The sequence below is a fragment of the Homo sapiens genome, chromosome 12, assembly GCF_000001405.40.
Source record: "Homo sapiens chromosome 12, GRCh38.p14 Primary Assembly".
NCBI classification, from domain to species: Eukaryota; Metazoa; Chordata; class Mammalia; order Primates; family Hominidae; genus Homo; species Homo sapiens.
Genome location: NC_000012.12, coordinates 28,275,967 through 28,302,959, shown reverse-complemented (window position 1 = coordinate 28,302,959; position 26,993 = coordinate 28,275,967). Strand labels below are relative to the sequence as shown.

General features: G+C 33.3%; 1 protein-coding gene across 35 annotated transcripts in view, besides 2 other annotated features; it reads right to left on the bottom strand.

Annotated features, from left to right (window-relative positions):
• Positions 1-26,993, bottom strand: part of CCDC91 (coiled-coil domain containing 91) — a 359,711-nt gene that overhangs the window by 247,207 nt on the left and 85,511 nt on the right. Inside the window, exon 1 of one of the 35 annotated variants that reach the window (XM_005253415.1) lies at positions 149-329. The exons of the other annotated variants lie outside the window; for them this stretch is intronic. The gene's annotated coding sequence lies outside the window, so the exon portion shown is untranslated. Of the gene's footprint in view, positions 1-148; positions 330-26,993 lie in introns of those variants that run through there. 35 annotated transcript variants of the gene reach the window in all.
• Positions 12,037-12,206: an enhancer, noted in NCBI's record as "experimental_27393 CRE fragment used in MPRA reporter constructs". NCBI's record gives its function as "activates a minimal promoter by MPRAs in K562 erythroleukemia cells, with activity observed for the non-introgressed 12:28443772 variant allele {active_cell/tissue: K562}" and the evidence as "EXISTENCE:reporter gene assay evidence [ECO:0000049][PMID:34662402]".
• Positions 21,538-21,738: a silencer, noted in NCBI's record as "peak1637 fragment used in MPRA reporter construct". NCBI's record gives its function as "represses an SCP1 promoter by STARR-seq MPRAs in K562 erythroleukemia cells {active_cell/tissue: K562}" and the evidence as "EXISTENCE:reporter gene assay evidence [ECO:0000049][PMID:32103011]".

Here is a 26,993-nt window from a genome sequence, read left to right as displayed (position 1 = left end):
TCATATCTCTTCTGATCTTCTCACTGTACTGAATATTCCAGATTACCACTTTCAAAACCCACTCTTCAAATTACCACCTCTAAGCTAATGATACCCAATACATCTCCAGTATAAATCACTCTGCAGAAATCTAGATCTATATACTCACCTTACTACCAGATAGTTTCATTCAGTTGTCCAACAGGTATACCAAGCTTGCCCATCATCTTAAATAAACCTGCTTTGCTTCATGTTTTCCATCTCAGTTAATAATACATCAAAAAACCATTTGCTCAAGCCAGAAATGATACCACTAAGTGCTAACTTCACTCCAGTCACACCATACTACTAACATTCCCTGACTCTGCCCCGTCAGAGGTACTGACCTCTGTGACCTCACAATATTACTGTCTAGGTAAAAGCCATAAGAAATGGATTCAAATTTAAACATTAACAATTTATGCATTATGCAGCCTTAGGCAAATTACAATAACTCTTCTAAGCCAAAGTTTGCTCTTGTGAAAATGGGGAAATAATAGGTAGCTCAAAATGATGTTATACAGCTTAAATGAGATAATGCATACCAACCACCTAGAGCTCAGTGACAGATACATGCTAAACATTCAGTAAATGGAAGTTGTCATTGAAGTTATAAGTTGGCAACATTCAAAACAAGCTTTTCCAGAAATCTTTTCACACCTATCCCATTATTCACCCAAGCACAATATAATTCTAATTTTTCATTATCTGTTAAGATACTATAAGATTTCTAAGAAATAGTGACAAACCATTGCATAACAATATATGGGATACATTTAAAGCAGTGATTAGAAAGCAAACTTCATAGCCCTGAAGTTAAAAAACAATGAATTAAATTCCGAGCTCAAACTAAAAAAGAAACAAAAAAGAAAATTTAAAAAGTAGAATAAGGAAAATAATAAAGATACTGCATTCATTGAAGTAGATTAGTAAGAAAAAAGGGTACATATAACTAATCAAAATCCTGAATTTCAAATGAAAATTAAACAAAATAGTAACTAACAATAAAAGGGAAAGAACTCAAATATACAAAATTAAATGACAAGGAGAATATAGCTATCAAAACAGAAAAAATTAGTAAGCAATAAGGCTCTTCTACAGACTTCTAAGTAAATCAAAGCATTTAGAAAAATGAAAAAATTCCTAAAGAAATGTAGTTTCTAAAAGTTGATCTGATTAAATATTTTTTTCAACTTTTAAAAATAAATTTTCTGTGAAAAAAATAGGCAACTACCCAACAAAGAAAGCATCAGGCTCAGATTATTTCAAGAGGATTTCTACCAAAAATTCAAACATTATACAAACCCAATATTCTAAAATTGAGAAGAACACTGAAAATGAAGGAAAATTTCATTAACACTACAATTAACATAACATTAATAGTAACACCTTATAAAGACATTAAAAATCAGAAAAATTCAAGATTTTCAGATTAGAGTATCACTTATAATGAAGTATAAGTTCTAAATAAAATATTAAAAAAATGAATCCAGCACCATATTAAAATGATATGTAATGAACCAATAGAACTTACTCCAGGAATGCAAGACTGGTTACCTATTAAAGAATTCATTAATATAATACTCCATAATAACAGAATTTTAAAAAAAATTATATGATTATCTCCAGACTCTGGAAATGCCCGTGATAAAACTGAACACCCATTTCAGTTAAAAACAATCAGAAAATAGAAACTGATGGACGCTTTTTAAGAAAATAAAATATATAAACCTCAGCCCTAAAGGCAGCAACTTAACTAATGGGAAAAGATTAAAGGTGTTTCCGTAAAGATGAGGAATAAGAAAAGGATGCCTACTAACTCTCTATCTTTAAACATTGTACTAAAGGCACAAATCAATGCAAGTCAACAAGAGAAATGAAATAGCACCATAAAAAAAGAAAAAAGGTGAAAATAATTTCATGTTTCTATCATGAGAATACATATAAAATTAACTCTAATAATAAAAGCATTCAGAAGAGCAGCAGGATATAAACTTGACCAGCAGAAACCAATATAATTCATATGTAAAAACAATAACCATTTAGAGAATGTAATGGTAAAGAAAATAAGTATTTTTCACTGCAACAAAGACACAATACAGTACTTAAGAATAAATTTAGCAAGAAATGTGAGGAAAACTTTAAAACACTCCTGAAAGACAAAGAAATAGACCTAAACAAAGGTAAAGATATCTCTTGTAATAGGATAGAACATCTAAATATCATAAAAATCCCAGTCCTCTCTTAATTAATGTATAGGCTTAATACAATCCCAATAAGTTTTTTATAATGAAGTTAGATAAATGGGCATTAAATGTGACATTAAAAAAGTGAGCTTGAGAGAACAGAACAACCCTAAAAGAGAAAAGCTATATGAGGAATACCATTCCCTCTTATTAAAATATACTAAATTAAACTATATTAAAACATACTATTTATCAAAATTTGCTGTATTAAATTATGTTATACAATCTCTATAAATAAGATGGTATATTATTTGGCACAGCAATTAACAGATCAGAAGAACACATCAGAAAGTCCAAAAATAGATCCAAGTATGTGTGAAGCAAGTATGTGATAAAAGCAGCATTTCAAATCACTGAGTCAAAGATGGGCTTGTTAATAAATAGTGATAGAACAATTGATTAGTTGTTTGGAAAAAAGTATTAAATAAAATTAAACCCTTATATCATATCATACACAAAAAGAAACTCCAAAGAGGATCAGGGATCTAAACAGTCTAATAATGAGATCATATACCCTAGGAGAAAACATGAGTGAGTTCTTCTTTACCTTAGACATAAGAAAGGGCATTCTAACTATGGCTTGATTATAGATACAACACAAGGAAAGACTGACTAATTTCATCATATAATATATTAAACGTTTTTTCTGTCAAAACAAATATAAAAACCAACTAACAACTTAGAAAAAAAACTAATATGTATAACATGTATCACAGATAAGGGCCAATATTCCTAATAAATAAAGAACATTTAAAACCTGGGGAAAACAATAATATGTATAACATGTATCACAGATAAGGGCCAATATTCCTAATAAATAAAGAACATTTAAAACCTAGAGGGAAAAAAAGGTTGAGGGAATAAAAAATATCCATACAATGAGCAAAAGATGTGAACGATTTACCAAAATGAAAATATACAAAAGGCCCTTAAATATATGAAAAGACAAAGATACATACATCTACTTATTTGCTGTAAAGGAAATGTATGAAGGATAAAGCCAAAAACAAACAGGACTGATAGTGGAAGATCGGCAGGAATGAGGTCGAAAGATAATAAATGAATGGCAAGAAATCTCTCTTCTCTGAATATAGGTTTTAATACAGTTCTCAACTTTTGGCACCATGTTAACGTTTCACATACTCAATAAAAGAAAAATGAAATCAACAGGCAGGGGAATGAGAAATCCTAAAACAGAATACAAAGAACAACAAATGAACTTGCAAATGAATAACCTGATCACATAACACAGTATGAGAGAGGGAGGGGTAAGAACTAACCCAAGTTACTTTGGGACATAGTATTTTGATTGAATGTCCTCAGTGTAAGAACAAAAAGAACACTAAATAAATACTGAGGAGAATAAGAAAAATGAGAAGGAAAGGGAAGAAAATGATAAAGCAAATGTGGTAAAATGTTAACCTTTGAAGAAAATGAATGAAGGATATATGGGAATTATTTGTCCATTTCTTCAAGGTTTTCTGTAAGTCACAATAAAAGTAAAGAGGAAACAGCAAAGGGGAAATTATATAATAAAAAAGAAACAACACATCTCAAGAATTACTCACCAGAGGAAAAATAACTTGGTCTCCACAAAATCCTTCCCTAGGCAAAACTGCTAAATAAAGAAAGACTTGCTACCACTAAAAATATATATCAGAAAGTTTCCACCAGTTACTGTTCATAACAGCAAACAAGTGGCAACAACCTAAATACTGACATAAGATGGGTACCTGAGTTGTGGCATAATCAATTATTTATCAGTGAAAATAAAGAAACTACAGATATATGAAACAACATGACTGAATCTTAGAGACAAAATTTGGGTTAAAAATATAAATCCTGAAGATTTCAAACAGTATGAACCCATTTTTATAAAGCACATAAACAAGCAAAGCTCTTATATATATATATATGTGCACACAAGCACACACAATTTTTTGTTGTTGTTGTTGTTGTTTTTTTTTTACAAAATCAAGGAAATGCTAACATAAAATGGAGGACAGTGGTTCCTCTAGGGACAAAGGCAAAGGGATAGGATAGAAGAAAAATTATGAAATTGGTTAACACTCTAGTTCTTAAATAGCAGATTCAGGTGTGTTATTTTTAAATACAACAAAGAAAAAATAAAAAAATAACTATACCTGCTTAAAAATATACTTCTAAAGACTTTTGTTTCAATATCCTACCTAATTGAAATAATCAACCCCCAGGAGTCACGTTAACCCCCAATCAAAGCATGCTCTGAGTTAATAGGATAGGAAAAGATCCAGCTTCAAAGTAAAGACTAATAGGGGCCAACTAGCTTTTGTGGGGGGAAAAAAAAAAAAAAAACTCAACAATCAGCAACAGACCAATAAACACAAAATTTGGAGATGCAAGCCTTTCTGGCATCCTGCTAATCAGACCAATAAGACATATGAAAAGTTGAATGTAAAGTGCTTACAATTCATAGGCACTATCAATTTATGAGGCATCAGAGGAATTTTCAGAAAGTTGTTGAATTTGATACTATGTTTACTAAGTGTTTCATAACCCAAATCCAATTTTTAATATAAAATGAGAAAACAAATGAATAGCATCTGTGAAAGAAAAGAGAGCATATTATTTCCCTCTAAGTGAGAACTAGATTTTTTTCAGTTAAACCTCTACAGTTTTTGCTATGCTACAATTCACATAGCTTCACTAATTTAAGGTGACTGCCCTATAACATTCAACCCTTAGAAGAAAATCTGTCCTAGTAAATATTGTCCACGTATATAGACACAAAATGTTATTTTATAGTAACGATGGTATACATGTTTTAAATGTGTGTGCTTAATAAATGGGAAATTGTAAACATAATTTTAAAATTACAAATTCTAGTATGTAAAATATAAATATCTTCTCACTTAGTCAAGGTGCAATTTTTAAAGTTCCAAAGTGCTTACAGTATTCTTTGGTCTATTAAAAATCGTGTAATGTCAGTCCTCATGCCCAAAATCTTTAAATGCAGGAAATCAGGTGTGCCCAACAACACCTACTTCCACAAAAACACAGCCAAAATTTTTTAAGAGAAATCTATAAAATTTTGTTTCTTTTGGTATGTTGTTTGTTTGCTTGCTTTTAATGCTTAAGCAGAGTATAGATACAATTTGCTTTATTTTAAATGTGAAATCCTTGGTGTTCTAAGATTTAGAGAATATAAGTCAGCACAATATTCCTTCACAGCTACAAAGCAAATCAAAAGTGCAATGAATGGCAGTTCTTCATTTTTACCTTTGTAAGGGTAACTAGCAAGTCACTTGGACATATCATTTTTCATTGACAGATCTCTTCTAAAGCACAAAAAGCTAACTATGTCAAAACATGACACAGGCGAAGGAGCACCAAGTTTCCAAACAGTGTGCAATTTTTTTTCCCAGTAATTCTGTTTGTGGTCATTTCTGTTTCATTTTACATAAACATAATAACTCTTATTAATTCTAAATAAGAAATGGGTAAAAATAGCCATGCACTTTTACCTATACCCCCCAAAAAAATCTGTTTATCTCTGTTAATGATTAAAATAATTCAAGAAGAATATGCCAATAAAATAATGATTTTTATATCTTGTAACTCAGAAAATAGTTTTGACCTTTAATTTTCATTCAAACACCCTATTATCCAATGCAGGTCCTTGTTTTTATCCCATTCTTTCATCTTTTAGGTACATTAGAGGCTGGTGACTATCTGCTTTCATAAACTGTCATCTCACCTCTGATCCCCAAATGTATTTTCAGGTCTATGTTGTTGAACCCACATCTTCCTATTCAATGCTCATTGCTGACACCTTTGAAAATCACTCATGTAGGGAAATCACTGTTATGAAAAAACAAAGAATTTGCAAGTGCTTATGGAGATCCAAATCACATATCTAAATATGAAGATGTTACTAAAAAAAATTTGAAACTAAGTGTACACATTTCTTTTAAAATTTACAGAAAATGGTGAAAGTCAGTGTTTAGAAAATCCTTGTTTCTATCCAAGGAGGGTTACTCACAGGAAATGACCCTTGATATATAATGTATATGTTTATACATTATATGTATAGATATATAGATGTAATATAATGGATTTTAGGATGTATCTAAGACATCTAGGTTGGAAATTGAAGGAAAAATATATAATAGCTTTTAAAAGGCCAAGATGGAGGAACATAGGAAATAAAAATGATCACTTCCTTAATAAAATGATTACATCATTGATAAAATGTCTACCATTTTAGTTATTTTTAATTATTTTCTAGAGTTATTGGCATACTATAAACAAAGACTCCACCTCTACTCGCTTCTTTGAGGAATAACAGTGTTCCAGAGGGCTGTTTGGGTAACCCTGTATACTACAAATTGCAATAATCAAATTTCGGAATTCTGCAAATGACAAAAAAAACTGTTACCATTTCTAAAAGAGATGCAGAGGAAGAGGCCTCGTAATCTTTTGCTAGCATAGTCAACATAAAATTATATAATATAAACATAAATATAAATGTAACTTTTTGAATGGGAAAATTTAAAAAATAAAAAATTTAAAAAATAAAATTTAAAAAAATTTCATTCCCCACTGCTTCTTTAATATCACAGCAAGAAAATACCACAGCATCCAAAAATAAATGAAAATAGAAATAAACTAATGAAGTAAAATACAATAAAAAATGATATAAGGAGTCTAAACAGTTTGAAGAATATGGGAGGAATATTCCAAAATCATAGTATCTTTTTATCCAAATTTACTATCTAAAAATAAAAGGCTTTTTTCTTTTAACTCTTGCTCACACTGAGTGAACAAAATTCTAAGCAATTTCTGAAGTGCAAGAAAAAAATTATATCACACCTTAAGCTAAAGTGATACATTTCGAACACATCATTTTAAAATGTTAAGTTCCTGCTGAGGTAGTTTTTGGTTCCTGAGTCTCTGGAAACTAGATCCTTAAGAAATTTTTTAAACTCATTAGAACATAATGACACACTTAAGAAAACAGTGCCTGTGTTCTTTATTGGACTCATTTATCTAATCACTTATTCAAAATACAATCGTAGAGTAGCACTATATTCAAGACACTATGTAATGTAAGATACAGAGCAATCCTTTACATTAGAAAACTTTACCCTGAGATTATCACATTGGTATTAAAATAATAAAAAATAAATAAATTATTATCTAAAGTACTTAGTTGTCAGATGTCATGGAACGACTTGCCATTGTTTGTAGTTTAATATCACTATTGCAACACTCCAAATAGCAAATGATTAAAATATTAGTGTGCTGTATATCAAAGGTGTTCAATAAATCAATTTAAAATTTTCATTTTGACATTTCTTGGAAATATTTTAAATATAAAAACATGATTTTCAAAAAAAAGATAAAGTCTTGACTCACAGCGATAAAGTAGATATATATTAAAGATTTTAGTCTACTCACACAATGAGGGAACCAGGCAAATGTTATAATCACTTCAAAGGAAAAATCATTTAAAATAGGACAAATTTATAGAGAGTGAACAAATATTGAAATAAATTGCAAATGGAGGTCCAACTGCTTTTTTTCTAAAGGTGCAGAGTCAATCAGAATTTCATGTCTATCAGTTCCTACAACATATGAAGAGCTGTAAATATAAAATAACTCAAAGACAATGAACAGGGCTAGAATCAGATAACCCTGAAACTTGTGCTGAATGTAGACAATGAATAGTTTTCATTTTAAAATATCTTTTTTTACATGACTATTAATTCATTCTCACATTGCTATAAAGATACTACCTGAGACTGAGTAATGTATAAAGAAGCAGGTTTAGGTCAAGCGTAGTAGCTCAAACCTGTAATCCCAGCACTTTGGGAGGCTGAAGCAGGTGGATCACCTGAGGTCGGGAGTTCCAAACCAGCCTGGCCAACATGGCAAAACCCCATCTCTACTAAAAATCCAAAAATTAGCTGGGTGTAGTGGCACCTGCCTGTAATCCCAGCTACTCGGGAAGCTGAGGCAAGGGAATCGCTTGAACCCAGGAGGTAGAGGTTGCAGTGAGCCGAAATCGTGCCACTGCACTCCAGCCTGGGCAACAAGAGTGAAATCCCATCTCAAAAAAAAAAAGAGGAAGCAGGTTTAACTGACTCACTGTTCCACATGGCTGGGGATGCCTCAGGAAGCTTGCAATCACAGCAGAAGGCAAAGGGGAAGCAGGCACCTTTTTCACAAGACAGAAGGAGAAAGAGAGCCAGAGAAGGGGAAGGGCGACACTTTCAAACCAGAAGATCCTGTGAGAACTCATTACCACAAGAACAGCATGCGGGGGGAACCACCTCCATAACCCAATCACCTCCCACCAGGTCCCTCCCTTGACATGGGGGGATTACAATTCGAGATGAGATTTGGATGGGGACACAGAGCCAAAGCCTATCAATGACCAAAAAGAACAGCTCAAATTTCTGTTAAGTGAAATGAAAAAAGCGGAGAGAACTGTCATTGACCTGGTACATACTCTGGTCTAGGTGCTGTGCAGTATTTTTGTGTGTGTGTCAACTTATTTCGTCCTCCCTATAACAACCATTTCATAAATGAAGAATCTAAGATTCTGAGTTTAATTATAAAGTACAAAATTTCACAAACTAGAAGACTGTCAAGTCACGAGCAGAGTTCATGTCTGTTTTACTCTAAATCTCAAGCTCATATTCTCCACTCCACAAGTACTAAAAATGCAAGTTAAAATCATGTTAAGATTTTGGGCGTGTGTGTGTTATTTTTCCAGTAGTTAAAAAAACAATGAAAAATACAGGCAAGGAGCCAGGCGCACTGCAGACAAGGAGGTGAGCACAGTGTCCCAGCTACTGGGAAGGCTGAGGTGGAAAGATGGTTTGAACCCAGGAGTTCGCAGCTGCAGTGAACTATGATCACATCATTGTACTCCAGCCTGGGTGGCAGACCAAGACCCCATCTCCTGGAATAAAAAAAAAAATACAGACAAGGAAACAGACTACAGAGAACCAAATAGGAAAAGGATAAGTTAAAAAGAGACAGAGAGATGAAAACTTCAAAAAGAATTTTAAGAAACTAATGTTTTCATAAAGTATATATTTAATTGATACCAACAACAGTCTATCATTAAATGCCTAAAGAGAAAGCAAAACATGACTAGCTAGCATATATACAGTGATTTAACAATGCCAATTAAAAGAATAAAATAAAAGCAACAGTCCTCAAATAAGCTCTTAACTATATCCTACTGCCAGTAGAAAACAAGACTTAATGAAGTAAAACAAAACTACTTTAAAGTCCCCTTCTGCCCATCCAGTTAATTATAATAGGAAATCTAGTTACAGTATGTGAATATTAGCAAAATGAAACACAATTATTTGTTCTTTCTTCTCTTTCTTTGAACCTTCAATATAAAGCTTGCCACAATTTGCATTCATTTAAGCTACGAAGATTATTTTCAGTTCTCTTACTTCTATGTATGCTAGTTTTTCTTCAGTTGCAGATTTTATGTCTTATTCTCTGAATGAGCTTCTTCTGTTCTATTTTCTATCTATATGCCCAAGACACTCTTGCTGTTAATCTTTTTATAATGTATATTAATAATCTTTGACTTAATCACTATGTATTTTGAAATTAAAATCTTCTTTCTTTTCTTTGCCTGTTATTTAAATCATAAAATAGAAATATCTATGAAAAAGACTTTTAGCACCTTATTGACAGTTGTCAGATTACAAATATACCATTTGCCAGAAGCTGACTCAGCATCCTAAAATGACATAAACAGCCCCATAATAATTTCCAGAGTACACACAACGTAAGTATTATTGTACATAAACAGAATTATTCACTTTAGAGTTTTGAGGGCACTTTGCCCAAGTGTACATCTACAGTTTGAGAAGCATTGGGTACTACCCAAATAGAGTACTCTATTTAAGTATTAACAAAGGCAATGTACGTCTACCTGACAATTTATATACTACATTCTTGTGGCTTTTATAAATTTGATAATCATAATAGTTTCAACAGCAGAAGACCAGCCTATTTTATATTAATATGGTGAAAATACTATTTATTAAAAAAAAAAACTTAGTCATCACACCAACATATACTTAGAGCTAGATACCTAAACACATGTGCCATCAACCCATAACAGGGACTCAAAAGCAAAATTTGAGCCTACTAAAGACTCCAACTCTCAACTCAATGTTAGGTGTCATTATCTCCTCTTTTCAAGCAGGTTAAAAGAAATAGCAGCTATTAGACACCTAAACTCTTAAATGACCTCCAAGAAATTTTATATGCCCAAATTTACAAGGAATATGTAGTTTAAATAAAGTTCTATTGTTATTATATCCATTAAAGTTAATCAGCCATAAGGGTGAAATAAATTGAAAACGGTAGACTTTCATTTGTATTAGGTTGTTGCTAAAGTAACTGCAGTTTTTGCATTGTTGGAATTCGCTGTTTGATGTTGGAACACATTCTTAAATTAATGTGGTTATGTCATACATCATTTTAATGGGCATTTCTCACTTTATGTTCTTTTGCTGATGACATATTACCTGCTGTTTATTTTATGTTTATTTTAGACCATGGAAATGATGTTAGACAAAAAGCAAATATGAGCAATTTTCTTATTTTAGTTCAAAACGGGTGATAAAGCAGCAGAGACAACTCGCAACATCAACAACGCATTTGGCCAAGGAACTGCTAATAAACGTACAGTGCATTGGTGGTTCAAGAAGTTTTGCAAAGGAGACAAGAGCCTTGAAGATGAAGATCACAGTGGCTGGCCATTGGAAGTTGACAACAACCAATTGAGAGCAATCATCAAGGCTGATCAACTATACAAGAGGTTGCCAAAGAACTCAACGTTGACCATTCTACAGTCATTTAGCATTTGAAGCAAACTGGAAAGGTGAAAAAGCTCAATAAGTGGGTGCCTCATGAGCTGAGCGAAAATCAAAAAAATCATCATTTTGAAGTGTTGTCTTCTCTTATTCTATGCAACAACAATGAATCATTTCTCAATCAGATTGTGACATGCAACAAAAAGTGGATTTTATATGACAACTGGCAACTACCAGCTCAGTAGGTAGACCGCAAAGAAGCTCCAAAGTACTTCCCAAAGCCAAACTTGCACCACAAAAAGTTCATGGTCACTGGTTGGTGGTCTGATGCTGGTATGATCCACAACAGCTTTCTGAATCTCAGCAAAACCACTACATCTGAGAAGTATGCTTGGCAAATCAATGAGATGCACTGAAAACTACAATGCCTGCAGCCAGCACTGGTCAACAGAAAGGGCCCAATTCTTGTCCATGACAATGCCTGACCACATGTTGCACAACCAATGCTTCAAAAGTTGAACGAATTGAGCCATGAAGTTTTGTCTCATCTGCTATATTTACCTGACCTCTTGCCAACCAACTACCGCTTTTTCAAGCATCTCAACAACTTTTTCAGGGAAAACATTTCCACAACCAGCAGGGTGCAGAAAATGCTTTCCAAGAGGTTACTGAATCCTGAAGCATGGATTTTTACACTACAGGAATAAACAACCTTGTTTCTTGTTGGCAAAAATGTGTTGATTGTAATGCTTCCTAATTTGCTTAATAAAGATGGTTCAAGCCTAGTTATAATGATTTAAAATTCATGGTCCAAAACAGAAATTACTTTTGCACCAACCTAACATTTTTTCAAAGTAAAAAAAACAAGGATACGGTGGTGAGGAAATACCTTCATATAAAGAATGTTCTGCCATAAGAGTACAGTAAAATACCAAAGTTATACCTCTTGATAAACATAAAAAACTAAAATTTACAAAAAACTTAACATTTTAACCAGAAATACCAATGCTAAAATATAGCATACTTTTAAAAAACATGAGTTGGGTATGAAGCCTCACAAACTAATCTTTAAGGTAAATATCAATCAGAAATTTAGAATATTCAGCATTTAACTCCTTAAAAAGTGATAATTTAACTATAATATGATCCTACATCTACAATGAACAAAATATAAAAAACAATTGGCTCCTATTGCATTGATGAAAGCTTTATTTGGACCAGCCACTACAAAAACACACTTAAGTACACAGACCAGTGACACTATTATAAAGCAACCACACAAACAAGTCTGCATAATAAACAGCTAACATCATGATGACAGAATCAAATCCACACATTTCAGTACTAAGCTTGAATGTAAATGGGCTAAATGCCTTAATTAAAAGGCACAGAGTGGCAAGCTGGATAAAGAACAAAGACCTAATGGTATGCTGCCTTCAAGAGACCCATCTCACATGTAATGACATCCATAGGCTCAAAATAAAGGGATGGAGAAAACTCTTAACAAGCAAATGGAAATCAGAAAAAAAGCAAGGATTACAATCCTTATGTCAGAAAAAAACAGACTTCAAACCAACAGAGATCCAAAAAGACAAGTAAGAGCATTATATAATAGCAAAGGGCTCAATTCAATAAGATCTATCTTAAATGTATATGCGACCAACACAGGAGCACCCAGATTCATAAAGCAAGGTCATAGGGACCTTCAAAGAGCCTTAGACTCCCACACAGTAATAGTGGGAGACTTCAAAACCCCACTGACAGAAATAGAGCATCAAAGCAAAAAAAAATAACTAAGATATTCAGGGCCTAAACTCAGCACTGGATCAAATGGACCTGATAAGACAACTACAGAACTCTCCACCCAGGCCAGGTGTGGTGGCTCACGCCTGTATTCCCAGCACTTTGGGAGGCCGAGGCGGGTGGATCACAAGGTCAGGAGATCGAGACCATCCTGGCTAACACGGTGAAACCCTGTCTCTAATAAAAAATACAAAAAATTAGCCAGGCGTGGTGGCGGGCATCTGTAGTCCCAGCTACTCGGAAGGCTGAGGCAGGAGAATGGCGTGAACTTGGGAGGCGGAGCTTGCAGTGAGCCGAGATCGCGCCACTGCACTCCAGCCTGGGCAACAGAGTGAGACTCCGTCGTCAAAAAAAAAAAAAAAAAAAAAAAGAAAAGAAAAGAACTCTCCACCCCAAAACAGCAGAATACACATTCTTCTCATCGCTACAGGGCATGTATTCTGAAACTGACCACACAATCAAACATAAAATGCTCCTCAACAAATGCAAAAGAACTGAAATCGTAACAAACATTCTCAGATGTGAGTGCAATAAAAATAGAATTCAAAACTAAGAAAAAAGCTCAACACCATTCAAATACATGAAAATTGAATAACCTGCTCCTGAATAACTTTGGGTAAATAATGAAGAGAAGGCAGAAATCAAGAAGTCTTTTGAAACTAATGAGAACAAAGATACAACATACCAGAATCCCTGGGACACAGCTAAGACAGTGTTAAAAGGGAAATTTATAGCACTAAATGTCCACAAAAAGAAGTTAGAAAGATCTCAATTTAACAACCTAACATCACAATTAAGAGAACTAGAAAACCAAGAGCAAAACCACCCCCAAGCTAGCAGAAGACAAGAAATAACCAAACTCAGAGCTGAACTCAAGGAGACTGGGACAAAAAAAAAAAATTCAAAAGATCAACGAATCCAACAGTTGGTTTTTTGAAAAAATTGGTAAAATAGACCACTAGCTAGACAAATAAAGAAGAAAAAAAGTAATGATCCAAATAAACACAATTAGAAACAACAAAAGGGATATTATCACTGACCACACAGGAATACAAAGAACCATTAGAGAATATTATGAACACCTCCATGCATGCAAACTAGAAAATCTAGAAGAAATGGATAAATTCCTGGACACATACACCCTCCTAAGACTGAACCAGCAAGAAATTAAATTCCTGAACAGATCAATAACAAGCTCGCAAACTGAATCAATAATAAGTAGCCTACCAACCAATAAAAGCCCAGGACTAGACATATCCACATCTGAATTCTACCAGATGTACAAAGGACAACTGGTACTATTCCTACTGAAACTATTCCAAGAAACTGAGGAAGAGGGACTTCACCCTAATTCATTCTATGAGGTCAACATCACCCTGATACTAAAACCTTTCAGATATACAACGAAAAATAATTATTTCATGCCAATATCCTTGATGAACATCAATGCAAAAACACTTGTGGCAAACCAAATCCAGCAGCACATCAAAAACCTACAATCAAGGAGGCTTTATCCCTGGGATGCAAGGTTGGTTCAACATTCTTAAATTAATAAATATGATTCATCACCTATATAGAACTAAAGACAAGAAACACATGATTATCTCAATAGATGCAAAAAAAGGCTTTTGATAAAATTCAACATTCCTTCATGTTAAAAACTCTCAATAAACTAGGTATTGAAAGAACATGCCTCAAAATAATGAGACACATGACAAACCCACAGCCAACATCATACTGAATGGACAAAAGCTGAAAGCATTTCCCTTGAAATCCAGCAAAAGACAAGGATGCCCTTTCTCATCCCTCCTATTCAACATACTATTGGAAGTCCTGGACAGAGCAATCAGGAAAGAGAAAGAAATAAAGTACATCCAAATAAAAAGAAAGGAAGTCAAACTATTCCTGCTTGCAGACAACATGATTCTATATCTAGAAAACCCCACTGTGTCCACCCAAAAGCTCCTTAAGCTGGTAACTTCAGTGAAGTCTTGGGATACAAAATATCAATATACAAAAATCACTAGCATTCCTATTACACCAACAACAGTCAAGCTGAGAGCAAAATTAGGAACATAATCTCATTCACAATTGCCACAAAAAGAATAAAATAACTAGGAACACAGCTAACCAAGGAGGTGAAAGACCTCTACAATGAGAAATACAAAACACTGCTCAAAGAAATCAGAGATAACACAAATAAATGCAAAAGCATTCCACACTCATGGATAGAAAGAATCAATATCATTAAAATGGCCATACTGCCCAAAGCAATTCATATATTCAATGCTATTGCTATTCAACTACCAATGACATTCTTCACAGAACTAGAAAAACCTATTTGAAAATTCATATGGAACCAAAAAATAGCCAAAGCAATCCTAAGCAAAGAAAACAAAACTGGAGGCATTATGCTACCTGACTTCAAATTGTACTACAGGAGGACTACAGTAACCAAAACAGCATGCTATTGCTACAAAAACAGATCCACAGACTGATGGAACAGGAGAGAGACCCGAGAACTAAGGCCTCACACCTACAACATCACATTTTTTACAAAGCTGAGAGAAGCAAGCAATGGGGAAAGGACTCCCTATTCAATAAATAGTGCTGGGATAACTAGTTAGCCACATATAGAAGATTGAAACTGGACCCCTTCCTTACACTATATACAAAAATTAACATAAGAGTGGATTAAAGACTTAAATGTAAAACTCAAAACTATAAAATCTCTGGAAGACAACCTAGGCAATACCATTCTGGACACAGGAACAGGCAAAGTGTTCATGACAAACATGCCAAAAGCAATTGCAACAAAAGCAAAAACTGGCAAATGGGATCTAATTAAACTAAAGGGCTTCTGCACAGCAAAAGAAAGTATTAATACAGTATACAGACAATCTACAGAATGGGAGAAAATATTTGCAAACTAGATATCTGACAAAGATCTGATATCCAACATCTATAAGGAACTTATACACATTTACAAGAGAAAAACAGCCCCATTAAAAACTGAGCAAAGGACATGAACACTTTTTAAAAGAAGACATACATGCAGCCAACAAGCATATGAAAAAAAGCTGAACATCACTGATCACTAGAGAAATGCAAATCAAAACCAGAGTAAGATACTATTTCATACCAGTCATAATGGCTATTATTAAAAAGTCAAAAAAATAATAGATGCTGGCTAGGTTGCAGAGAAATAGAAACACTTATACACTGTTGGTGGGAGTATAAATTAGTTTAACCACTGTGGAAACGCTGTGTGGCAATTCCTTAAAGAACTAAAAACAAACTACTATATGACCCAATAGTCCCCCCATTACTGGGAATATACCCAAAGAAATATAAATTGTTGTATCATAAAGACACATGCAAGTGTACATTTACTGCAGCATTTCACAATAGCAAAGACATGGGATCAACCTAAATGGCCATCAGTGGATGAACTGGATTTTAAAAATGTGTTATATGTACACCATGGAATACTATGCAGCCATAAAAAGGAATGAGATCATGTCCTTTGCAGGAACATGGATGGAGCTAAAATCCATTATTACCCTTAGCAAACTAATACAGAAACAGAAAGCCAAAAACTCTATGTTCTCACTTATAAGTGGGAGCTAAATGATGAGAACACATGGAGAGAAACAACAGACACTGGGGCCTACCAGAAGGTGGAGGGTGGGAGGAGGGAGAAGATCAGGAAAAATAACTAATGGGCACTAGGCTTAATATCTGGGTGATGAAATAATCTGTACAACAAACCCCCATGGCACAGGTTTACTTATATAACAAACCTTCACACGTAACCTTGAACTTAAAATAAAAGTTTTTTAAAAAGAAGCTTTATTTTAATGTCTATGAAGGTATAACTTAGATAAGAAAAAAAAAACTTCTTTATTGGAAGTTTAAAATACCTTAAATATATACTTAGCTCTTTGTGTTCCCTTGACTCAAGCCACTTCCAATTAGAAAGCATACTGTAGAAAAAGAACTTGGATTTGAGAACTAGATTCACATCCCAGTTCTACATTAGAGCTCAGTACTCCAGGGTAGACACTGAGCCTTAGGTTCCTCATTTAAAAAATGAGCAGAACAACATTATTTTTCTTTTAAAAGTTTTATGATAAATAATTATAATGATTTGCGAATTGCTTTACGAAGTAAAATTATCAGAATAATCATCAAATAGGTGATCAAAACATAGATATGCAAAGTCTCCTAAATAAAGGAGAGCTAGCTATTCCCAAGCCAGAAAGACTAAAATACAAAATATTAATTTATCCAGTTAATATATTTAGATAAATAATAAGATCAATCAGAAAGATTGGGAAATCAGCCATAGAAACTTAAATAAAGGAAATAAATTTAAATAAAGAAACACAGATAAACACTGGCAGGGTTCATCTAAGTATTATCCAGAGAAAGGGCACTTAAGCCAACATTTTAAATTTTGCCAGTCCTATTGGCAAATTGCTGCAATATCATTAAACTCGATTTATTTAATTCTCTTTATTCCAATTCCAAGCTCATTATGTACCTTTTGATCATAATATGACTTAACATTTGTTCTGCATGTAGGGAGAGAATGGACCTTGAGTATTCCAGTCTCTGGCACAGAAATTTCTCCTTGTAAATTAACTTAACATTCAGGCTTCATATTTAAGTTTCATAAGCTTAGCTTGTCTCTGAGAGGTGGATTTATTCTCAATATAGTGATAAAATGAGATTAGTGAGTCTGCAAGATTCAGTTTCCAACCTCGAACAGGAGCAAATTCAACAAGAAAATAACTGTTCATCTCGAAAGCCCCTTCAGAGAAACTCTGAAAAACTTCTCACTTGGTTATGACATCCCAGTGTCTGCAAACGAGACAGCATATAGAAGAAACCTTAGATAACCATTTCAATCCTCTCCATTTTCACATTTTACAATTAATAAGTTCTAAAAAAAATCAAGTATTGCCTAAATTATCCTGTCAAACATTAACAGATTAAGACTACAATGGACATTTTCTGATTCCTAAAAGCAGTGCTCTTTCCACCAACCCTCCATACTAGAATTCCGTTTAGAGAATATTCCTCAAAAAACGTTGAGTTCATACAAAGAGAGTTATGTTTCACATAGTAAAAACCTTACTTCATTAGAATGTTTGTAGGAAGAGACAGTTAATATACGCTATTTCACAGGTGGTAGTCCAACGACTAGGCAAAAAAAGAAAGAATATATCTCAGAGTAAACAGCCTATCTTTAATCCTCACTGTTGACCACGAATACAGTCATGCTACTTTCATCCCAACATATACAATTCATTAAACCTAAGTAATATCTGGTCGTATTTAAGGAGATGGAGAAGGACTGGCTAACAATCACTATTTCTTTTTCTTTTTTTTTTTTTGAGACCTAGTTTCACTCTTGTTGCCCAGGTTGGAGAGCAATGGCGCGATCTCGGCTCACCACAATTTCCACCTCCTGGATTCAAGCGATTCTCCTGCCTCAGCCTTCCTGAGTAGCTGGGATTACAGGCATGTGCCACCACACCTGGCTAATTTTATATTTTTAGTAGAGATGGGGTTTCCTCATGTTGGTCAGGCTGGTCTTGAACTCCTGACCTCAGATGATCCGCCCACCTCAGCCTCCCAAAGTGCCGGGATTACAGGCATGAGCCACTATGCCCGGCCAACAATCACTATTTCTATAGATATGCATTAAATACAAAAAAGTATAATCACAAAGGGTGAAAGCAAAGGGTGCTAGACAGTCCAGAAAGCCTAATTTGCATTAGACATCTTCAAAAGCTACCTGTGCACACTAAAATTTTAGCAAGAAAACAAAGTTTATCAGTATTCCATATAACAAGAAGTACATGCCTAGAAAACTCCTTTTTTCCAATACTCCAATGGAAAAAAACCTACTCAATATAAAAAAAAAGAAGAAGAAAGGCTGTATCATGAATGTTTACAATTAGAAAGAGTGCTATCCTTATATAAGAAACACTTTAGAAATTCCTGTTAAATATGCTACAAGAGAAATCTGATTTCAGAAGAACCAGACCATGTCAAACACACTCACTGCTGAAAAAGAATAGCATGCCTGGCAGAGACAAACATACCCCCACTAAATTCATTACTAACACAGATTGTGCATCCCTAATCCAAAACCCTGAAATCTAAAATAATCCAAAATTTGACACTTTTTGAGCATCCACATGATATCATAAATGGAAAATTCTGCACTTGATCCCATGTGACAGGTCACAGTCAAAATTTCATTTCATATTTAAAAAATCTTTAAAATATTGTATAAAATTACATTCAGGCTATATGTATAAGCTATACATAAAACACAAATTTCATGTTTACACTTGGGTCTCATCCCCAAGAAATACTATATATATGCAAATATTCCAAAATCCGAAAAACTCTTATCATCTGCAAAACTTCCAGTCTCAAGCATTTTGGGTAAGGGATACTCAACCTTTACACAACCATTAACTTTCATGAAACAAAAAAAATGTGCCACTGCTATACACCAATAATGACCAAGCTAAGAATCAAATCAAGAACTCAATCCCATTTACAACAGCTGCAAAATAAATAAAATACCTAAGAATATACTTAACCAAGGAAATGAAACATCTACACAGGAACAACAAAAGACTGATGAAAGAAATCATAGATGATACAAGCAAATGGAAAAACATACCATATTCATGGATAGGAAGAATCAATATTATGAAAATGACCATGCTCCCCAAAGGAATCTACAGATATAATGCAATTCCTATCAAAATACCAACATCATTTTTCACAGAACTAAAAAAAAAAAAAAATCCTAAAATTCATATGGGACCAAAAAAAAAGCTCAAAGAAACAAATCCTAAGCAAAAGGGAAAAATCTGAAGGTATCACATTACCTGACTTCAAATTATACTACAAGGCTATAGTAACCAAAACAGCATGGAACTGGTACAAAAGTAGACACATAGGCCAATAGAACAGAATGGAGAACCTAGAAATACAGCCAAATACCTACAACCAACTGATCTTTAACAAAGCAGATAAAAATATAAATTTGGGAAAGGACACCATACTATTAAATAAATAGTACTGGGAAAATTGGATAACCACATGTAGAAGAATAAAACGGGATCGCTATCTCTCACCATATGTAAAAACTAACCCAAGATGTATTAAAGACTTAAATCTAAGACCTGAAACCATAAAAATTCTAGGAGAAAACCTAAGAAAAATGCTTCTGGACATTGGCCTAGGCAGAGAATTTATGACTAAGATCCCAAATGCAAATGCAGTAAAAACAAAAATAAATAAATTGAACCTCATTAAACTACCTTTATGAAAATAGTATGGAGCTTTCTCAAGGAACTAAGAGTAGAGCTACCATTTGATCCAGCAATCACACTAGAGGATATCTACCCAAATGAAAAGGAATCATTATATCAAAAAGACATCTGCAAGTGTATGTTTATCACAGCACAATTCACAAATGCAAAGATAAAGAATCAATCTAAGTGCCTATCAACCAACAAGTGCATAAAGAAAATGTGGTATATATACACCATGGAATACCACTCAGCCATATAAAAGAATGAAATATTGTCTTTTGCAACAACTTGGATGGAACTGGAGGCCATTATCTAAGTGAAGTAAGTCAGGAACAAAAGAACAAATACTACATGTTCTCACTTATAAGTGGTAGCTAAGCTGTGGTTATGCAAAAGCACACAGAGTAGTCAGCTTCTATAATAAATAGCATCATTATCCCCCAATGCTCCTTAAATCATCTTAATTAGATTTAACTTGGAGTAAAAAAATGTTTTGTATTGGTAGGATGGTGGAAATTATCGAAGGTAAGAAAAATAAAACGCATTACCAACTTAACGGTAGTACGTGAGGCTGTATTTTATTCATTGTAAATATTCTGAGTAAAGTTCATCTTCATTCTTTTAGTTATCCTTTTTGTCTTTTACCTGAGATATATGTACATTTCTACCTTTAAGTTATGATATTCAGAAGGCTCCTTTATCTTTTAAAATATCTTTTCAATCAATATTTCAATTCAACAGTTTACAAGTCTTTTCTATACATGCACAGATAAGAGAAATAGGAGAAATATTCAAACAGATTTTCGCACTGTTAACATTAAATCCAAGGTACTATGGGATAAGTCAAACCAAAAAAGTATGTCCTTTCAGCAACAATGGTCAGCAAGTTTCTGAAAACTTACAAAACTGCAAAAACAGAAACAAGATCAAAAGACTGGGTTAAAATCATTCCCTTTTAATTATGTCAGCTACTTTCTATACACTACTCTAACAACACTGTTGCTAATGGCAGACTAAGGAAAAATAATAATTATTATAGCAAAACCTATACTTAAATAGATTCAGAGAAACATACACATACACAAAAGAAAATAAGAATACTGTGATAGCCTTTTGAAATGTCAACTTGGATAAGCTAGTAATGAAACACTAATCTAGATGTTGCTGTGAAGGTATTTTGTATGTGATTAAAGTCCATAATAAGTTTACTTTAAGTAAGAGATTACCCTAGATAATTATGGCCTGATTCAATCATTTGAAGGGTCTTAAAAAGCAGAGTTGAGACTTCCCTAGTAAAGGAGAAATTCTGTGTGTGGACTGCAGTTTCAACCTGTGCCTATGGGTTCTAACCCGCCCTTCCTGATGGAACAGCCTATGAATTTCAGACTTGTCTAGTCAGCTCCACACTCATGTAAGCTAACTATTTATAACATGTATCTCCTACTGGGTCTGCTTCTCTGGTTGAACCATGACTGATACAAATACCATGTCCATACAACAATGATACTGAAATCTTTCCTAAAATTGCTTAATGAATAAAAACTTCCAAATTTATTAAGACTAAATAGCATTAAGACCAAATAGACTACTGCCAAATATCAATGCTTCAAACACTTTCTAGAAAAAGTAATTGATAAATGAAGACATACAGAGATGGAAAAAAATGGACAGTACAAGTCTCAAACAGAAAGCCATATTGCATAGGATATCTTTTTATTTATTTATTTTTTTAGACAGAATCTCATTCTGTCACCAAAGACAGAATAAAATGGTACAATCATGGCTGACTGCAGTCTCCAACTCCTGAGCTCAAGTGATCATCTCACCTCAGACTTAAAAGTAGCTGGGACTACAGATGCATGCCACCATACCTGGCTTTTTTTTTTTTTTTAAAGAAACGCGGTCTCACTATGTTGCACCGGTTGGTCTTGAGCTCCTGGCCCCAAGTGATCTTCTTGCCTCAGCCTCCCAAAGTGCTGAGATTACAAGTATGAGCCACTGCATCAGGCTGCACAGTATATCTCAATAAAAGGTTTAGTAACTCACTAATCATTAATTAGCAATTATCTTTAATAGAAGGGTATTTACAAAGGTATACAAATCATTTACCTATATGTTCTTCTAATCCAAGATCTAATCCATCACCATTATAGACATATAGACTATAAAAAGAATTCTATATTATATATTACTCATTCAACAGAAATGACAACTACAGTAAGATCAGTTATTACCTCACAGACAGAATGTTTTTACAGCTAGTGTCATGTTGTAAATGCAGTATTTCAGACTGAATTAAACCATAAAACACACTCAGATGGTAAATCCAAACATCAGAGATGTATACAGGAAAAAAAAGTGAAAGACCTATAAGAAATAGTTACAAGAGTAGAAGAATTTGAAAGTAATATACAAAAATAATTTTTTCTCTTCACATATAAAACATAAAAGATTTATTCAACTGTATAAGATTATTAAAAAGTTCTACTAAAATCTTATAGTATTATCAAAATACAAGCATGACTGCTAGTTTAAATAGATCAAATACAGGAGAAAAGAATTGTGTACTTTCTGTTCTAGTCTGTACACTGACTTTTTAAAAGGTGACACTCTGCTCATATCAGAGTGCCTTTGAGACAAATTTTTAAAAAGAATCAAATACATTTGGAGATTTAATTCCATTTCCTCTGTTTATATTCTCAACTACTCAAATGAAGGAGGCAGATAAATATGAGCTATATCTAAAATAGTAGATATGATGTTATCATATTTTAGACCACACCCGACTGCATAAACAAAAGTGTATGAACACTGCATCGTATATATACACAGAGATATTACAAAGAAAATATATTGTTTTTTAATCTGTCCAGCACCATGAGAATATGCTTTACAGAAAGAAAAATAAAGTTTCTAGCATTTTTTCATGTAATATTCTATTAATTCAACCAAAACTTATAATGTGCTAGTACAAAAAAAAAAGGATTTAGTGGAATAGACAAACTTCCCTAGAAATTTCAAGTGGAAAGATTTAATATAGGGAAATTTCTAATTACAAAATCATAATTGAAAGAGCTGGAGGACCAAAAGTTGAGTCAGGAAAGTGAGGAGTGGGATCAGCAGCTTTCCATTTACTCTCCCACCAAAGTGATTCAGAACCAGAAAGGAGCTGGTGCCTCCCTTCCCAGGGTCAGGAAATGCATGGTTTAGTTCAGTGGAATATTTGTTTTGTGCATCAAAATCTAGGCCAGTAAGTCTTCACCTTAAGAATAGATTGCTCTGAGAATCTAAAAGAAGTTATGAACTTCTCTCCTAGGAAAGTCTATATACTTATACGTGCATGACTTCTGTACTTAACTTGAGGGGTCTCATAAGATGCTATTTCAAAGTTTTATTAAAGAGGATACAAATATAAACAAGACAGTTTCCCAATCCTAAAGCTCACATTCTAGAAAAGATACAGAGACAAACTTTTATATCACATAAAAGATTTGGAAGATTAAAATACAAGTACAGTGAAGAAAAGGATTACATCATATTTAAAAAAAAAAGACTTCACAAAACTAATGATCCTAAGGTAAGCTTAATATATGACACAGAGCTTGCAAGAGAGGAAAGGTAAGAAAAAGAGGAAAATGAGTATTTAAACAGCACCATATCAAGCATATATACACATTTAATCTTTAATAGTATATATTATCATTGTAATCGTATATGCATAATTAACTATTGTACATATTAATATACCTGTATATAAGTTATATAATATGTATGCATGTATATGTGCATATTCACACTTGATTTTCACAATACTTTTTTAAAGTATATATTATTACCATTTTACAAATAAAGAAACAGGTACTTGAAAGGCTAATTAAGTTGACCAAGGTTACATAGCTGTTAATGGTGAAGCCAGGATTCATATCCAAGTCTGTATAATTCTTACTAGGACTTTCCAGGCAAAGAGAACAGCATATTAAAAGCTACAGAGTCATGAAACCACAGGATGTGTTTAGGGAACAGCAAGTACTTCAATATAATTGAAAAGTAAAGAGTTCAAAAGGAACATGATGATTACAGACACTCCAGTCCTAACTATACTGAATAAACAAAAAGACTTGAGAAAGACTTATACAGGTAGTTATCTGGCTTATGCTCCTAGATGAACAGTGATTTTATTAAGTGCGAAAAGAAATAAGAGTTCAAGTGTGGAACAGTAAAAGGGGAGATATGTTTTAGAGATGCTGACTTTAAGTTACATATTGATCAAGGCAGGAAGGCTCCAAAGAAGGGTCAAGAATGATGGCATAAATCTGGATATCTTCAATTAAAAGATTTCATCGAAGTGAAAATATAAAAGGATCAAGGACAAAACCCTAAAAACAATTGTTAAGAGGAAGGGAGAGAGAAGATAAGTAAAGAAGTCAAAAGGGAAGATCAGAATAGTAGGAAAGAACCAGGGGTATGCAGTGTCATGACTGACAATGAAAAAGAGACTAGCTAACAGTATAAAATGCCACAGACGAAACTAAACAGTAATTAATGAAAAAGAACAGTCACTTCAAAATTTGGGATTAGGCAGGCTAGAGGACTGACAGAAAAGCTCAGTAGAGAAAGAGCCATTTAAACTGGGCTATGAAGGAAGAGTGTGATCTGAACATGCGGAGATGGAGAAAATGTTTTAGCTGAATAGCACAACCAGAACAAAGAACCAGAAGTAGGAACAAATTGCAAATATGTGCCGGGAGGTACAAAGTAATTTTCAGTTTCACTGGGCCACTAGTATGACAAGGATAACAGTGAATGAAAAGTCTACAGTCTGGCTACTACCAGATCACAAAGGCCCTTGAAAGAGAGACAAAAGAACTTAGGGTAGTTCTAAACTAACTACTATGTAAAGATGACTACATAAAAATTATTTTGGAAACCATGTATAGAATGAATTACAAGGCAAAGAAACCAGTTAAATTAGTATTATAATAGCCCAGATGAGATGTTAAATCTGACCTACTTGATCAAAGTGAAAAAAAGGAGGAGGGTTGATGCAAGAAATAGAAAAAAATTGACTACAGGTTGAGTACTCCTTACTCAAAATGCTTGAGACCAGAAGTATTCAGATTTCAGAATATTTACCATCCCAAATTTGACAGTCCCAAATCCAAAATTCTCTAATAAGCATTTGCTTTCAGCATCATGTAAGTTTTGGATTTTGGAGCATTTCACAGTTTGGATTTTTGGATTTGGGATGTTCAACCTATAATGGTACTTACCAAATGCAGTTGTATTCAGTTTTTGCTAAAAGTTAAATAACTGAATTAGCTAAAAGTCAATATAATTTTAAAATAAAGAACATCTGACATACCAAAAATTTATTATCCTCATCAAAGAAAAAACCCAAACTGTAATTTAATTGAGGTAATACCTATAGAATTCATGATGAGTATTAGAAATTCCCTTTGTGACAATGTCATTTATAAATCTCTAAAATGTTCAATACTATGAAGAAGGTCAGTTTTGGGGTTATTGTTATAAAAATATATTTGAACCCAGGCTTTTTCAGTTCTCAGACATTTGTTAATTTTAACATCTACTCTGCGTGATCTTACAGAGAAATATTTAACATTACTTACCAAACTTGTAACTATATCACTGTAAGTTATAAGCTTATGAAATATGGCTTCAATTAGCCTTTAGGAAAACTGATACCATATCTCTGAAATTTCATTTCCCGTAAGTCTTAGCAGGTAAGCAAAACATAATTAAAAATTTAATACCTAATACAAACAGCTGAAATTTCTCTAAATTACACACATAACTGTATATAAACCTTTAAAAATATACATATAATTTTCAACAGATGAACACAGGGATTATAGCACAGATTCTGTAACATTCGATTTTTTTGTTAGCTTACAAAAATCTTAACTAATATTCACAATGGGCAAAACAATAAACAGTTTTTCTAAAGTAAATTTGACCAGTTAAATTTCTATACTCTCAAACATAAAAAAATCACTGTCCTTTTATGAAAATGAAAAAAATCATTTGCCCCAAGACCTTGAAAGGCTGGTTCAGACTCAAGAACCTAACAGTACTCAGCAATCTGAATAAGGCAAATACTACAATCTACCCCTCAGCCAAGATCTTTATCAATTTATGAGTTACACAGGGAACTGCACACTGTATATGATAGAAACAGGAAAATGTGAAACATTTTCCACCATTCATATAATTTATATCCTTCCCATTAAGAGAAAGAAAATAGTTATTTTCCTCATGCACTTGTGAAGTATGATTGCCTGTTTATTTCACTTTACTGTAGGAGATTCTAGAAAACAAATATATCTCTTTGGTTTACACCCAGTGAATCCAAAATGACATCAGGTTTATTCAACAGTACTATCATTACCAATAATAATTCCCTTTCTTTTTAAAGAAAAATAACTCAAAAATTCTGAAAATCATATATATTACATGATTAAATATACACACACAAACATACATACATACAATATTCTATTACATAAAGATGCCAAATGTCTTTAAAAATAATCAAGGAATATAAATTCATAAATTACTTACATAGGTCATGGATCTAAGAAAAAAAGAATTTTTAGGAGTGGTGAGAGAGGGCATCCCTGTCTTGTGCCAGTTTTCAAAGGGAATGCTTCCAGTTTTTGTCCATTCAGTATGATATTGGCTGTGGGTTTGTCATAGATAGCTCTTATTATTTTGAGATA